General features: G+C 44.2%; 1 long non-coding RNA gene and 1 pseudogene across 1 annotated transcript in view; one reads left to right on the top strand and one right to left on the bottom strand.

Moving 5' to 3' along the window:
• LOC105376103 (uncharacterized) overlaps positions 1 to 6724 on the bottom strand; it is a 96161-nt gene extending 89437 nt beyond the window's left edge. Inside the window, exon 1 of the long non-coding RNA XR_929989.3 lies at positions 1547 to 6724. This is a non-coding gene — a long non-coding RNA (uncharacterized LOC105376103). The remainder of the gene's footprint in view (positions 1 to 1546) is intronic.
• On the top strand, positions 1818 to 4930 carry NPAP1P4 (nuclear pore associated protein 1 pseudogene 4; annotated as a pseudogene).
• Positions 6725 to 15322: the final 8598 nt, after the last annotated feature.

Below are 15322 nucleotides of genomic sequence, written 5' to 3'. Positions count from 1 at the left end.
GTTAAATGCCATATCTGTAAATGATTTCTGCCCTGGAAATGTTAGAAAGGGCTTATAGTATTTCTCCTTTTTTTTTTTCAAACAGAATTCGGATCTTAGCAAAGCTTTTTGTGCTCCACTGACCTTAGCCTTTTTTGGGGATGTAATTCCAAATTTGCTCTGACATGCTATAAAAGGAATCTTATGAGCAGAGGGCTAAAACCAATTTTGTAGTATGTTAGTTATGTCCGATGTTATTTTAAGTAAATATTTTAAAATGAAAAAATATATAAAAATAGTTTTACAGATCATTGTTCTTGGTTCTGAAACTTCTGCATGTCATATGTCTGATATACGTCAGCCCCAAGAAAGAAAAACATGCCAACGAAATAAGCCTGAGAAACAAGGTTCAAACTAGAGAAGGTCGTGTAGGATTTTCCAAATCTTTCTTGTCATGCTGAACCTTCCAGATTCTAGGACAGTAACACACATTTCGTGTGTCCTGTCAATAAAAAGCATGTATCTTCTCTTGGTCATAAGAAGGTCTAGAGTGATATTTACGTGACAATAATGTGTGGTGAAGAGTGGGCCCAGCAGGCATGTTCACAATGATCAAATTGTATTGATCACATTTTAATCCAATACATTGTTCCAGTATTAACTGGCAAATAAATGATGTATTTGCTTTCTAGAGATATTCCAGGAAGGCCAGAGAAACTGGATTTCTTATCCATGTGGAATATCCACTGGTGAATTTCTTTCAGGGTAGACCAAAATGGATCTAGAATATAATCTTTACATATTAGATCCTTCACACAAGACCAAAAAGAACATCTGGGCTGCAAGTCTCCATTAGAAGAGAAATGTGACATGACACTGTGTGACAATTGATGGTCCCTGCCCTACATCTTCTTAGAGGACTGGAGCCCTGTGTGGGCCACAGACAACTTGCGAGTTAAGGTAAAGACCTCCTCCTAGGTGCGCATGTGTTTATTACACATATGCCACCGTGCTAAGTACCCTACGGGCTACAGGAAAGAATGAGAAAACACGATGTCTCCACGATAAGGAGGCACACAGGCCAGAGCGTGAGCTGTGGAATCAGCCTGAGTTTAAAGCCTGGCTGGGGCACTGCCACCTGAATCACCTGAGGAACGGTCACAGACTTAAATGTTGTTTTAGGGAATTTGTAAAAAGAAATTACAACACCCTGCCAGGAAGGGAGGTGGTAGGGACAGCATCCAGTCAGGTCAGGGCACCACGGCCTCTCCTTGGAAACCTGCGCAGGGGAGCTGGTGGCCCTAGCGGCCAGGGCGGCCATGGAGAAGGCAGGCCTGGCTCCAGGCAGCACAGAGAGACTGGAGAGGCCCCGTGGGGAGCCTGGCAGGATCTGGATGGCCCTGTGTTTGGCTTCCAGCAAGCTCTGCCCCTGTGACCCAGAGGACAGGGCCGGCCAAGACAGGGCCACTGAGTATCAAGCCAGCGCCCAGGCCAGGTGCCAGGCGAGAAGGGCTCTGGCAGATCAGGCCCCGCTTCCCCCAGAGTCCCCACAGAGGGGCCCACTCACCCTCTGCAGCAGCAGGACAACCCCGGGTCCCCGGGGCTAGAGAGTCTCGCTGGGCCCCGCAGGGGGCCTTGCCCTTTCTCGCTGATCTTGTTTAGGAGCCTTCGCTGGGCCCGCGCTCCCTGGCGTCCTCCTCTGTCAGGATCCGCATGGGGATGTCATGAGTCTCAGCTACCAGGGGATGCCCGGCCACCAAAGAGCGGATGACAGAGGAGCGTCACTTCCGCTTCTGTCCCTCTTCTCAGTATCACAGGCGCACAACTCACTGGAGACTGGCAATTTACTTCACATGTTTCTTCCCTGGTCTCGCTGCAGGCTCCCAGGCCAGGGCCCACCCCTCACCCTCAAGGCCTCCGCGCCTGCCCGGGACACCCAGGCCTTTTCTGATTCCTGTTCAACCCACGGCGGCCTCCTAGGCCCTCATCTCCAGGCAGCTTGTGTGGCACCCCTTGTCCTCTCCCACACTACAAGGGCGACCCTCTTGGGTTCCTGCAGGCTATGGCCTCCGAGCCGCCTGTTGGGAACTCCCGGAGGCTGCCGCACCCAGGGTCCCTGAGGACCCTCCTCCTGGCTGCAAGGTCGCCCACCCACTGCCTTCACCACTTGAGCAGGTCGCAGCCAGGCTTCTGAAGGAGACAGAGGGGAGGGCCAAAGAAGAGCCCAGAACAGTGACGCAGATGCATCACGGAGAGACCCAGGAGCAGGATGACAAGAAAAGGGCCCCTGTAGCCAGAAGGAAGTGTCATCCACATCCAGGGCCCTGGAGACCCAGGGAGGCCTCACCTCCTTTGGGTGCAGGCCCAGGCCTCTGCAGGGAAATGTCCACCCCTACTTGTCGGAAAAACTCTTTACAGAGAGAAGGCCCAGTCAGTGAGTAGCTCCTTCTGGGAGGGCCATGAGGCCCCCAGCTCATACAGCCCTGCTGGAGTGGCCTTCCCCTTGGGAAGGCTGACCCGGCTTCTGCAGTGGTCCCGGCCCCGGCCCCGGCCCCAGCCCCGGCTGCTCCCTGCTGCCAGAGAAGGCGGCCCGGAAGGTGCTGGATGAAGACCACCCGCCCAGCTCTCCAAGCTTGCTGATGTCCAGGAAGGAGATGCAGATGTCAGGAAAGAAGAAGCCTTCAGCTCTTCCAACATGGAGCTCTTCTCCCCCAAGAGCTGCCAGCAACAGGCGCTGTGAAAGGAAAATGTGGATTCCACCGCTGCTGCCGCTGGCCCCACGCTGCGATTGATGTGGGATAGAGGTGAGCTCTCTCCACTTGCTAAGCTTCTCTACCTGCCTATTGAGGGATACCTGGGGAACTTGGAGAAGAGCATGGGGTGTAAACAGAAGAGAAAACTTCTTCAAGGAGAAAATGGAGGCTTTGGAGGATAAAACGGAGGCCAAGGTAAACTGCAGCACCACTCATCCTGCCCTTGCTGTCTCCGCACCTGCAGAGACTTCAGACTCCCTGTCCCTGGCCACCTACACTTCGCAGGTCCCAGCTCCTCTGTTCGTCCTTGACTTGGCCGAGTTGGCTGCCAGACCCCCCTGCCTGTCTGTCCACCTGACCCCTCACCAAAAATATCCAAAATCCCTAACTCCCCACTGTCTTTTTTTTCCACTGACTTTGTCCCTATATTGGAGGTTCTACCTAATGAGAAAGGAGGTTCTTCTCATTCTGGAGTAGCTTCAGCACTTCTCACTTCTGACCCCCAACACTTTCTAGCCCCACACCTGTCTCCTTCCAGCCTCCTTTCAGAAGAGAGCCAGCCCTGTGTGCTTTCCCCTCCTCCTCTTTCCTCTCCCACCCTTCTTCCAGGACCTTCCACAGATCTCTGTTACCACCAGCAAGCAGATGAATTCCACAGCAGTCATTTCCACCATCACAGCAAACACATCTGCCCACCAGATCTTGGAGCCTCCTTAAGACCATCAGGCCATCAACAAGGACGCCACTTCCCCTCCTAAGGCTGTTACTTTCAGAACTTCCTCAACCTCCAGGATGAGAGCTCTCCCAATTTCTCAAGTAGATAGCCATGCACAGCAGGGGCTCCCTGGTAAGATTCAGTCTACATCCACCCAGCTACATTTATATTCCCCAGCCCCACCCCTCAGCCCAAATTTGGAGCCCCTGATTTGGCCAACCCAAACTGCAGCACCCCCCAGCCTGCCCCTGCTACCTCCCCACCTGCAGAGACTTCATACTCCCTGTGCCTGGCCACCTGCACTTCCCAGGTCCCAGCTCCTCCTCCCACCCCTGACTTGGGCATTGCCTCAGCCCACATCTCCACCAGTTTGCCTGCACAGCCAGTCACGAGACCAATGGCAACTTCTAACCACACTATAAATCTGGGAGCCACTGCTCCACTCACATTCGGGGTCCCCAGCAGGAAGCAGGAAAAGCCTGTGTCCCTAATACCCCTGTTATTCTGAGCCATCCCATTATGATGCCTCCAGACACCTCCACTTTAGGGAGCAGCACCTCTGCAACATCATCATCTTTTCCTACCATTGATAGCAGTGCTGTGGATACTACCCTTATTCAAAAGCTGTCATCTCCCAGTCTGCCACTATCTCATGGAAGAAGTGCACTGTGCCTTACCTGGGGCTCCTTGGTTCTGGGTATTCACAACCAACCCAGTGGCAACATTACTTCAGCCCATGTCTCCACCAGTTTGCCTGCAGTCAGTCACGGGATCGATGGCAACTTCTCCACATGCTGTAAGTCCAGGAGCCACCTCCCAGCTCATATCTGGGGCTTCTCATGGGCAGGATAAGTCAGACGATTCTCTCATTCTGGGAAACCCAGCAACCCCAGCACCAGTCATAAGCCTAAGGTCTCCTGCAGCCCAGCCACCCAGTGAGTGGCAGCATCATGGCAGCAGATCTCACTGGTGTGACATCACCATATTCCACATTTGGCCTGCCTGTCAATGTGCAGCCACGTATGCTTAACAACTCAAGTGCTTTCCTCATTACTACAGCCAAGTCTTCTGTATTTAAAGTTGCCACTAGCATGCCTGGCAGTGGCGACAGTACTGCATTGGTTGGCAATTCTACTCTAGTCCCACTGGGGATTATGAGACCTGGAACCCCTACAGATTGTGAGAACATAGGGGTTAGCATGTCTGCCTCAGGCCCCAGTTCAACATCAGGAACATTGAAAGCTGTACCAGGATGGAGGAGAACAACCAACACCAGTCTGTTCCCCCATTTAGTCAGGTAGCCTGGGGTTCACCTGCTCATACCACATTGGTTGTGGCTACAAACACCAGCAACATCTCTGCTTGTTCTACCTTCATGCCAAGTATCTGGCATGCACCGCTCCAGAACCCAGGTGTTGCACCAAGAGGAGGCACACTCATTTCCATTGTCGGAGGCCCTTGTGCTTCCTTTTTCCATCAGTCCATGGTTGGCCCATCTGGACACAGGTGGTGCATCTACAATGAATGCCACCATAGCTATAATGAGAGGCCTTCATGTGCCGGCATGGCAGCCAAACACCCAAGGCCACCTGCACAATGAACAAATGGTGTGATGGGGTTCAGCACCACAAATGCTGTGAGTGGCCACACTTATGGTCCCCATTCACCAAGAGCACATGAGGTCCACCTGGTACACACAGATGGTGCAATGCAGGACAAATAAGAGACAAATAAGACCTGCTCTTATTTGAACTTTGCCCCTTGAGGAAGGGGGTCAGTCTCTTTAAGTTAAATTTAAGCTGCTCTCTCCCTTTAGAAGCTGGAGGCCCCAAACCTGTGTGTTTGTATGTGTGTTGGAGGACATGAGGAGGCTGATAAGCCCAGTTGGAACCACAGTGTATTTGAGATATTCCCCTATGGAAGGTAGAGGAAACCAGCATGTGTCGGCTGTGCTCTCCCTGGCTTGACTGTTAACCTGGCTGCCCCAAGCCCCCAACCAGTTCTCTAATACTTGAACTGACAGGATGCCCGCTACTATTTACAGGTGTTACTTTTCCCCTTGCCTATATTCCTCAATGAGTCCTTATCTTTCCCAATTGTGTGTATTAAAACCTTGCTCTTACTAATATGCCTCTGCTCATGTGTTTTTGCTCTTTGATTCAACTGTGGAGGAAGAATTGACATGAGGGGTGATGTGTTGAGGCAGACTTTATGCAAAACTTTGTGTTCCAGGGAAGAGGATGTGGAAGAAGCCACTTTTTCTGACTTCACAGGCTGAGTCCTGAAGCCTCCGTGTGAAGTCTGAGCATCAAGGATGACAACCTAGTGAGACATGAGGTTCAGACAAGGGAGAGACCAGGTGGCCCATCCTTGCCTCTTCCGTCTGTTCTTCTCTCCAACCACTCTTACCTCATTGGAGGCAATATATTCCCTGATGTGTGTTAGGAAATTGTACTTTTTTCATTTTTAAAAATGTATAAATGTATTTTGTGTGTGTCTTTTTGTCTGATTTAGACTTAGGTACGTCATCCTTACAGATTCCCACTTCATCCAGAGGTTGGGCTTGGCATCCAGTTTCTTGCATGTAGAGGAACAAAGAAAGGAAGAGCTCATGCCCACTCTGTAATTATTCAAAATTTATGTTTACTTAGAATTTATCATGCTGCTTAAAATGATCAGAAAAGATTCTCTTTAAAAACTGCTCTGGCTCTAGTCTAAATTACCAAGATATCAAATCACGAGAGTTACAATTATACCCAGATCTGGCTGACCCTAGCATTCTGCTACGTCTCCACTAGACTAAATTGCTGAAAATACAATCTTTTCTAAGGTATTTCACAACCCAGAAGAACCATCTCAAGATGGGGAAAAGAGAAAAGTACAAGCATTTCCCTCAGCTTCTAGCATATTAAACATTTATTCAGTGAGGTTGGGATTGGCATCCAGTTTCTTGGATGTAGAGGAACAAAGAAAGGAAGAGCTAATGCCCACTCTGTAATTATTGAAAATTTATGTTTACTTAGAATTTATCATACTGCTTAAAATAATCAGAAAAGATTATCTTTAATAACTGCTTTGGCTCTAGTCTAAATCGCCAAGATCTGGCTGACCCTAGCATTCTGCTAGGTCTCCACTAGACTGAATTGCTGAAAATATAACCTTTTCTAAGGTATTTCACAACCCAGAAGAACCATCTCAATATGGGGAAAAGAGAAAAGTACAAGTATTCCTCCTCAGCTCTACTCTAAACCCTGTGCTAGGCCATGGAGATATAGAGTTGAAGACGTCTCTTGCCACAGAAAATTTACAATGTAGTCGGGGACAGAGACGACCAGACCAAACATTTAACTGGATAGGTAGGTGCTGAGATAATGGGGAGCAAGTAAGAAGAACATTAACTACTTCTGGGGGAAATGAAACATGAACTGCACATTCAAGGAGGAGAAGGGGACAGTCAAGTGGAAAAGAACTACTTCCGGGTCAAAGCAATAGGACAGAAGTTAGGGAAGGGATGGAGAAGACCGGTCAGTAGAACACCAGTGAGGTGGTCAGCTGTGGGTAAAGAGTGAAACCAAAGCCGGGAGGTGCACCTGCAGGGTTCAACAAGGGTTGTATGAACACAAACTTAAACACCACAATGGGGCACCTGTCATTTATTCTGAAAATCATGAAAGGATTGCAAGCAAAACAATGACAAGATTATATGTAGATTATAGAAACCTCCCTGTGACTGTGTGAGAAAAGAAGTAAATAACGCCAGGGCAGAGGCAAGGAAGTTTAGTGACACTGTAGTGAGCCAAGCAAAGATGAAGCAATGAGCTCCTGGTCTAAAGGACCTGACGGCAGGGATGGTGCGAAGGTCAGAAAAGCGGGAAGTGAAATGGGTGACAGCAACAAGCCCAGGCCTATCCTCATCATCTGGTTTGAGTAAACGAACATGAGTTTTTAGCAAAAATATAAGTTCTACTTTTCATAGTGTGAGATGCTGATGGAAAATCCAGATTCTATTTGGAAAGTGGTTCATTCACTCTATCAGTTTAAGGTATCTGTTGAGCATCTGGGATGTGCTGTGGACTATTGTAGGTAGTAGCGTCAATTGCAAGAAAAGAAAAATTCCTCATTTTGTGGACCCTACATTCTTGTTGAAGGGGAGAAAGAATATCAATGAGCATGCAAATTATCTGGTAGGTTAGTCAATAACAAATGCTATGGAGAATAAAGAAGTACGTGGAGGATTGTGATTGTGGATAGAAAGAAGCGGGGTTTTTATTTAAACTGTGGACAAGACAAACCTCACTGGGAAAGTGAAATGTGAACATCAGAGGCAAATGGGCCAGATATCTGAGCAAAGAACATCCCAGATAATAGGAATAGTCACTGCAGAGGCTCAGGGGAAGGATGGCTGGGGTCTTAAAGGAGCAGCTATTGAGGTAATGTGGATGGAATGGAGTCAGCATGTGGGAGGGAGAAAGGCAGGGAGAGAGGGAAGGGAAGAGGACAGAGAAGATGTGGGGTGAATTCCTTGCACCACCATTTATTGGTTGTATAATAACAGTGGACTCAACCTTCAAGAATCTCAATGAAGTCAGTTCTTCTACTGTGGACTGTTTACCTGACAAAGTTTCTAAAAGGATAAAATGCAATAAAATAAAGAAGTGACTTATAAGCTATTGTTGTTATTGTTCTATACATACGAATCGATAAATGAATAGATGGATAGATAGATGATAGATAGATTAGAGAGATAAATAGATAATAGATATATAGATAAGAGTTATAGACTGAAATTTTGTGTCCCCTCAAAAATTCGTATTTTGAAACCCTAAACCTCAATGTGATGTTATTAGGAGGTTGGGCCTCTGGGAGGGGCCTAGGTTTTGATGAAGTCATGAGGATGGAACCCCTATGATGGGATTTGTGCCTATATAAGAAGAGCAAGAAACACCAGAGCTGCTTCTCACAGCCACACAAGGACATACCAAGAAGGTGGCCATCCTTAAGCCATCTTAAAGATAGATAGGTAGATAGATAGATAGATAGATAGATAGATAATCAATAGATAGGTAGGCAGGTAGATAGATAATGATAGATAGAGATAGAGCATATACTTATATATGTATGCTCCGTGAGTGAATTCCTTAGGCAGTGGTCCTCTGATTGCCTTTACTAGGCAATTCTAATAGAAGAATCCTATTTTAAAGGGAGCATAAAAATGTTACTTTTATGAAGTAAATACCTATAAAAATATGATAACTGGGACAAAAAATGCACAGCATTGTGCCTAGTGAAATATTTATTAAATGAGTCCTGTAAAAACAAAACCATCACAAAGACACTAGTGGACTCCTCCTGGTGCCCTGCTGCCTGATTCATTTACTCTCAGTTGCTTAGCACAATTCCAGAGGGTCAAAGTTCCTGCTCACTGGCTGCAGAGAATCACCTGCCCTTTGTAGTCAGAACTACCTCTCAGAAGCAGGGTTAAAATCCATTTGCTTTTAATAGTCCTGCACCATCTCTACCATGACTGGCAATATTACCAGAAACAATTTTAAAAATTCATATTTATGACTTTTTCTTTTTTTTTTTGAGACAGAGTATCGCTCTGTCGCCAAGCTGGAGTGCAGTGGCACGATCTTGGCTCACTGCAGCCTCCGCCTCCCGGGTTCAAGCAATTCTCCTGCCTCAGCCTCCCGAGTAGCTGGGACTACGGGTGTGTGCCACCACACCCAGTCATGAGGAGGGTTCCATCCTCATGACTTCATCAAAACCTAGACCCCTCCCAGAGGCCCAGCCTCCTAATAACATCACATTGAGGGTTAGGGTTTCAAAATATGAATTTTTGAGGTGACACAAAATTTCTTTTTAGTAGAGATGTGGTTTCACCATATTGGACAGGATGATCTTGATCTCCTGATCTCGTGATCTGCCCGCCTCTGCCACCCAAAGTGCTGGGATTACAGGCGTGAGCCACTGTGCCTGGCCTTGTGACATTTTTTTAAAAAGGCCTTCAATTATGATTCTGATAAGACAAACTTTTAAAAAATATGTGAGAGATATAAAGATGAATTTGATTTTTCTGTTTTAATGCACTTACACAGCTGAAACTATTTCTAAACAAATATAATTCTGTTTATTAAAATAATATATGAGCATATCAATTTGAATAATACTGAAATTCAACCCTTCTTACTCCAGTTCCCCTCTCCAAAGACAGTTTTTAGCTACTTTGCTGTTACTCCCATAAACTTTATGCTTATTCTGCTGTATCGTGACATATTCATTTTAGAAAATATTTCTACCACCCTAACATAAGGCAGGACGATAAACTCCCTCTCCCACTCATATTCCTCATCTCTTCCTTTCCAATATGTCATGTTCATTTCATTATTTTTGCTGCTTTTTTTTTATAACTTCATAAAATTTTACTAGTTTATCGATGAGGGAAAGTGGTTAAAAGCATTGGTTCTAGAAATAGACCACTGGGTTTGGAAACTTTGCTCTTCAGCTCTGCAACCCTGAGTAATTTATAGAGCCTTCCTTTGCCTCTGTTTCTTTATCTGTAACTCAGGGAAAAGGTTAATACCTACCATATGGGGTTGCTCATGTTATTTAAGTGGAACAATGTATTTTCAGTCTTTAGTGTCCAACACACAGATGTTCTCAGGAAGTATTTTCGACTATTATCAGTTTCTTGTTTTATCAATGTTCACTCTAATCTCATGACTTTCTGTATGCACAGAACTGTTTTCCTACAGCTCCTCTGTCTTTCCTTTCCCCTTGCACAACTCACCTCTGTCAGTGACCTTTGCTTTTGTTTGTGCTGTGAACATTTCCATTTTTCATGCACTGGCAGCAAACAAAGTATCCCATGTTTTATCCAAAGGTTGCCCCCAAGGGTTGAAAACTAATAAATTGTATTAACTAAGTATTGCTCAGTCCTGGGGAAAAGAGTGGAATAGGAATATATTTTCTTCTCTGGAGGTAGAAGACCCCATCTTGTGTCTTTTCCATCAATTGTTTAAAATTGGGCTATATTTTAGTTTGCTTTTTACTTCAACCACTATTTTGTCATACAGATTTCATTGCTTTTCTTACCACTTGAATTGCCCTCTCCTTTTTTCTCCTTGCATTCTTTGCACATAAAAATGTATCTTGAATTTTCAAACTCAATATTGTTAATGTGACTGGAACCCTTTCTTTTTCTGAAATCTTGTGCCTCCCCAACTCCATTGGAAACTTTACAACCAAAGTAAGAACATAATCTCAGAAGAAAGAGGGCCAAAGGGACTGCTAAAATTGCTTTTAGGTGAGGCCAAACATGCTCACTATCCACAAATTATTTTTTTAAAAAAGTCTAATTCTGAATTCATCATCCTAAGTTCCCAGATCTGTGGTAGAGACAGGAATCTGGAATTCAACCACCACTCCAGGTAAGTATAATGCAGACAGTCCACATTTCGTATTCCTCCAAATGCTGCTTTAGGCCTTAGATGAAGGCTTACCAAAGGCCTATTCATCTCATCAGATAAATAATTGTACATAGGAAGTGGAGCTAAAACCCTAGTTACTAATAAGCAGAGTATTCACCCTAAATCTATTTCTCAGGAACTAGAAAGTGGCTTGTGGGAAATTTTAGAATTTCAGAGATGTGGATACATGTCTTTCTGGCTCTAGATATTTTCATTTTAGAGATCTAGAAACTGCTCCTGGCTGTAAAGAGCGTTCCCAGGCCTTCCCTGAAGCAGTCACTGCTGTGACCCCAGGGCAGTGTGATGCAGTGAGGGCCTCCTGAACAACAGCTCATTCTTTTCCTGAGATACAGTGAGGAATGACTCTCCCAGAAGTCCCAGGACAGAAGTGTCATCTTCAGGTGTGCCTTCTGGATAGGGAAACTGAGGCTCCCAGAATCAAACAGCTGCTAAGTGTTAGAGCCGCAATCTAGATCCTGGATTTATCTAAGGCAGACAGCAGGATGTGAAAGGGACCAGAAAAACAAAACCAAACAAAAGCTCTGATAAGTAATGTTCTGTCTTAGGTAAATAGCACCTTTTCTTTAAATCCATACTATTTTGTTAATGACTGGTATCAGAGACTTTCTTGGAAGTAGGTTTCATAGAATGGAATGCAAATGAAAATTTATGGGCAAATAGATTGGGGTTTCTGGGGAGAGTACATTGAAGTTAAGGGTTCAAAACACAACCTAGGTCAGTTTATAATTTGCCATCTAACTAGCTGAAGCTGTTGTATAGAAATTGAGAAGTACTGATTGGTGAAATATCAAAGTTAGCCATATTAGCAATCACTACCAAGTATTTTTCTGTTTCCCTTAAGGTTTTTTTGATTTCACCAAATATATGTCTCATATATGCACTGAAAATGTTAAGCCCTGAAAATGCTAAAATATTTGTGAGCCTAACCTTGATGGACATCAAAACTTATGACAGAAAGTTGAGTAAGTTATAAGCTTGGAATTTGCGTTTATTAACAAACACGTTTGTTTACCCTATGACAAGCACTATTCTAAACAATTTACAAATACAAGCTCATTTATTCTTTCAAATAACCACACTATTGGTAGGTATCATTCATAATTCCACTTTCTTTTAGGAAACTGAGAGTCAAACCAGTTAAATACCTTGTTCGATTTCACGCAATTAATAGGTGGTAAAACCCAGATTTAAAACCAGACTATCTGAACTTTTGTCACTTGGCTGTACCACCTCATTATAAACCATGTGTAGGGAAAGGCCTAAATTGACAAGATTCTGAACGAAAAGCAGAAGAGGGAAATGAGAAAGTGAGTGATCCTGGAATGTGGGAAGAATTTAAGTTCAGAAGTTCTCAGGGATGAGACTTGGGATGGAGCATGAGACGCGGCTAGAATATTAACTTCAGGTAGCACCTAAATCCCCTGCGATAGGACTCTGTTCTCCTTAAAGTTCAGAAAGACAGGTTAGATGAAATGTAATGAAAAACAAGGTAGAAAGAAAAAGAATAATGTGACTTCAGTGATGAGCAGTAACATTTTTCCTTTTAATAATAGAAGAGAGGGTCTCTGGGGAAGGAAAGACCTCTTGCTGCCAGGTGTCTAGGCATTTATTCCCCGGATGAACATGGGGAAAAGTGGCGGTCATTGTATTGGTTTCAGAAATCCCTTAAAACCAAAGCTTCAGTTCCCCAGAACAGAGTTAATGGCTGTGTGTCAGGCTCTCCACTGTGTCTGCCGTCACAAGTTTTCACTGGAGTAACAGTTCCTGATAGGTATGCATCAGTCTCCTATGGCCACTATAACTAATTACCCCAAACTTGGTGGCATGAAAATAATACATGTATTCTCTTACAGTTTTGGAGGTCAGAAGTCTGAAGCCACTTTCACTGGGCTGAACTCCACAGTTGGCAGGACGGTGCTCCGTCTGGAGACTCGAGAACAGAATCCACCTCCTTACCTTTCCAGCATTCCTTGGCTTTTGGCTTCATCAACCCAATTCCTGCTTTACTACATTCTTTCTGTCTATAGCAAAATCTCCTTCTGCCTCCCTTTTATAAGGGCACTTGTGAGCACATTTCTGACCCACCCAGATAATCCAGGATAATCTCTCCATCTGAAGATCCATAAATTAATCCCATCTGCAAGATCCATTTTGACATGTAAGATAACATTCACAAGTTCTGGGAATCAGGATGTGGACATCTTGGAGCAGTGGCATTATTCAGCCTACCACAGGTAGGCTATTATTAGTTATTATTTTTCTCAGGTGCAGAAAATAAAGCTTGTGGAAGTAATTTGTTTCAATGTTTCAGAGTAGAGATTTAAATTCTGGCATTCTGACTTTAGGACACACTCTGAACCACTGTTAACTTGTATTCTTAACCACTGCACATTCTTAGTTAACAGTTTCACTGAAGTACAAAGACTTTGGCGGGGCGTGATGGCTCATGCCTGTAATCCCAGCACTTTGGGATGCCGAGGTGGGTGGATCACTTGATGTCAGGAGTTCGAGACCAGCCTGGCCAACATGCTGAAACCCCGTCTCTACTAAAAATACAAAAATTAGCCAGGCGTGGTGGTACATGCCTGTAATGCCAGCTATTCTGGAGGCTGAGGCAGGAGAATCGCTTGAACCCAGGAGGTGGAGGTTGCAGCGAGCTGAGAACATGCCAGTGCACTCTAGCCTGGGCAACAGAATGAGACTCTGTTAAAAAAAAAAAGGACCAAGACTTCATTGGATAAAATGCTGTGTACTGACTCCTCTTTCACTTTGGTGTGTTTATCAACCTTGTCAGAGTACAAGAGTTCAGAAAACTGTTATGCAGGATTGCTAAGTGGAAGCATTTACTGTTTGGTTTGCTCTTAGTAATAGAGAGTTTTCTAATAGAATATGCTGGCAAGTAGTGTTACCACCACTTCATATATTTAAACACAAAATAAAAAACTATAGACGTAAAGGTGTCAAGTGCTTGTCTAAAGCATCCTAGAGGGCAGAGAAAAAGCTGGTCCCAGATGCCAGATGCCCAGGTCTGGATTCATCCTATCCAGGCCTGATTAAGCACCCATTTAGAGGGACTGTGGCTGATCAGCCAACACCTCAGACCTTACACCTTGGATTGAAGATGGAAACTAGCTGAGGGGTCACATATATTTGTATTAATCACTAATCCATAATCTGCTATTCCCATCCTTTGTGAGTGACAACTTGGCACTTTTAAAATTATTTTCTGCTTCAGAAAGAGCAGAGCAGCCTATGCCCCACTACCTGTGACCTACTGCACTTTTCAAAGGTGATTTGCCAAGTGGAGCTGCAAACTTGTCTCCAACATCACACATCTATGGAAAATTCTGGTCAGGTTTTAGGCCCAGTCACAGTACATTTTGCTGAGGATCAGTAATGATTTGCTGAGGATCAGTAATGCTCTCCATATGCTGGCTGACAAGGGCACGATCTCTGCACTTATTATACAACATTTGTCAGTTCCTTTCAGACACGGTGGTCTTTGGGATTCCTTAGGAATATACGAAGTATTTAGGTACTATTTCAAAAGCTGTTCCTCCCTGCATCCTCTCATTTTCTTTTTCTAAAAAAACTGTTGGTACATAGTAGGTGTAGATATATTTATGGGGTACATGAGATATTTTGATACAGGCATACAATGCATAATAATTACATCAGGGTAAATGGGGTATCCAGCACCTTAAGCATTTATCATTTTTTGTGTGTGTTACAAACAGTCCAATTATACTCTTAGTTATTTTTAAATGTACAATAAATTATTGTTGACCATAGTAACAGTGTTGTGCTGTCAAATCCTAGAGCTTGTTCATTCTATCTAACTATATTTTGGTACCTATTCCCCCACCCCGCTCCCCGCCCACCACCACTACCCTTCCTAACCTCTGGTAAACATCGTTCCACTCTTTTTCTCCATAAATTCAATTGTTTTAATTTTTAGCTCCCAAAAATAAATGACAACATGCCAAGTTTGTCTTTCTGTGCCTGAGTTATTTCACTCAACATACTGTCTTTTTTATGGCTAAATAGTGCTCCATTGTGTATACGCACCATATTTTATCCATTAGTCTGTTGACAGATACTTAGATTTCTTCCAAATCTTGGCTATTGTGAATATTGCTGCAATAAACATGGGAGTGCAGAAATCTCTTTGATATACTGATTTTTTTCTTTTGGGTACATACCTAGCAGTGGAATTGCTGGATCATATTGTAGTTCAATTTTTATTTTTTTGAGGAACTCCAAACTGTTCTTCATAGTGATTGTATTAATTTACATTTGCAGTAATAATGTACGAGGATTTCCTTTTCTTCACATCCTCACCAGTGTTTATTATTGCCTTTTAGATAAAACCCATTTTAACTGAG

The sequence above is a fragment of the Homo sapiens genome, chromosome 9 (genome assembly GCF_000001405.40).
Source record: "Homo sapiens chromosome 9, GRCh38.p14 Primary Assembly".
Classification (NCBI taxonomy): domain Eukaryota; kingdom Metazoa; phylum Chordata; class Mammalia; order Primates; family Hominidae; genus Homo; species Homo sapiens.
Note: the sequence above shows the minus strand (reverse complement) of the source record. Positions and strands in the feature narration are given on the sequence as shown.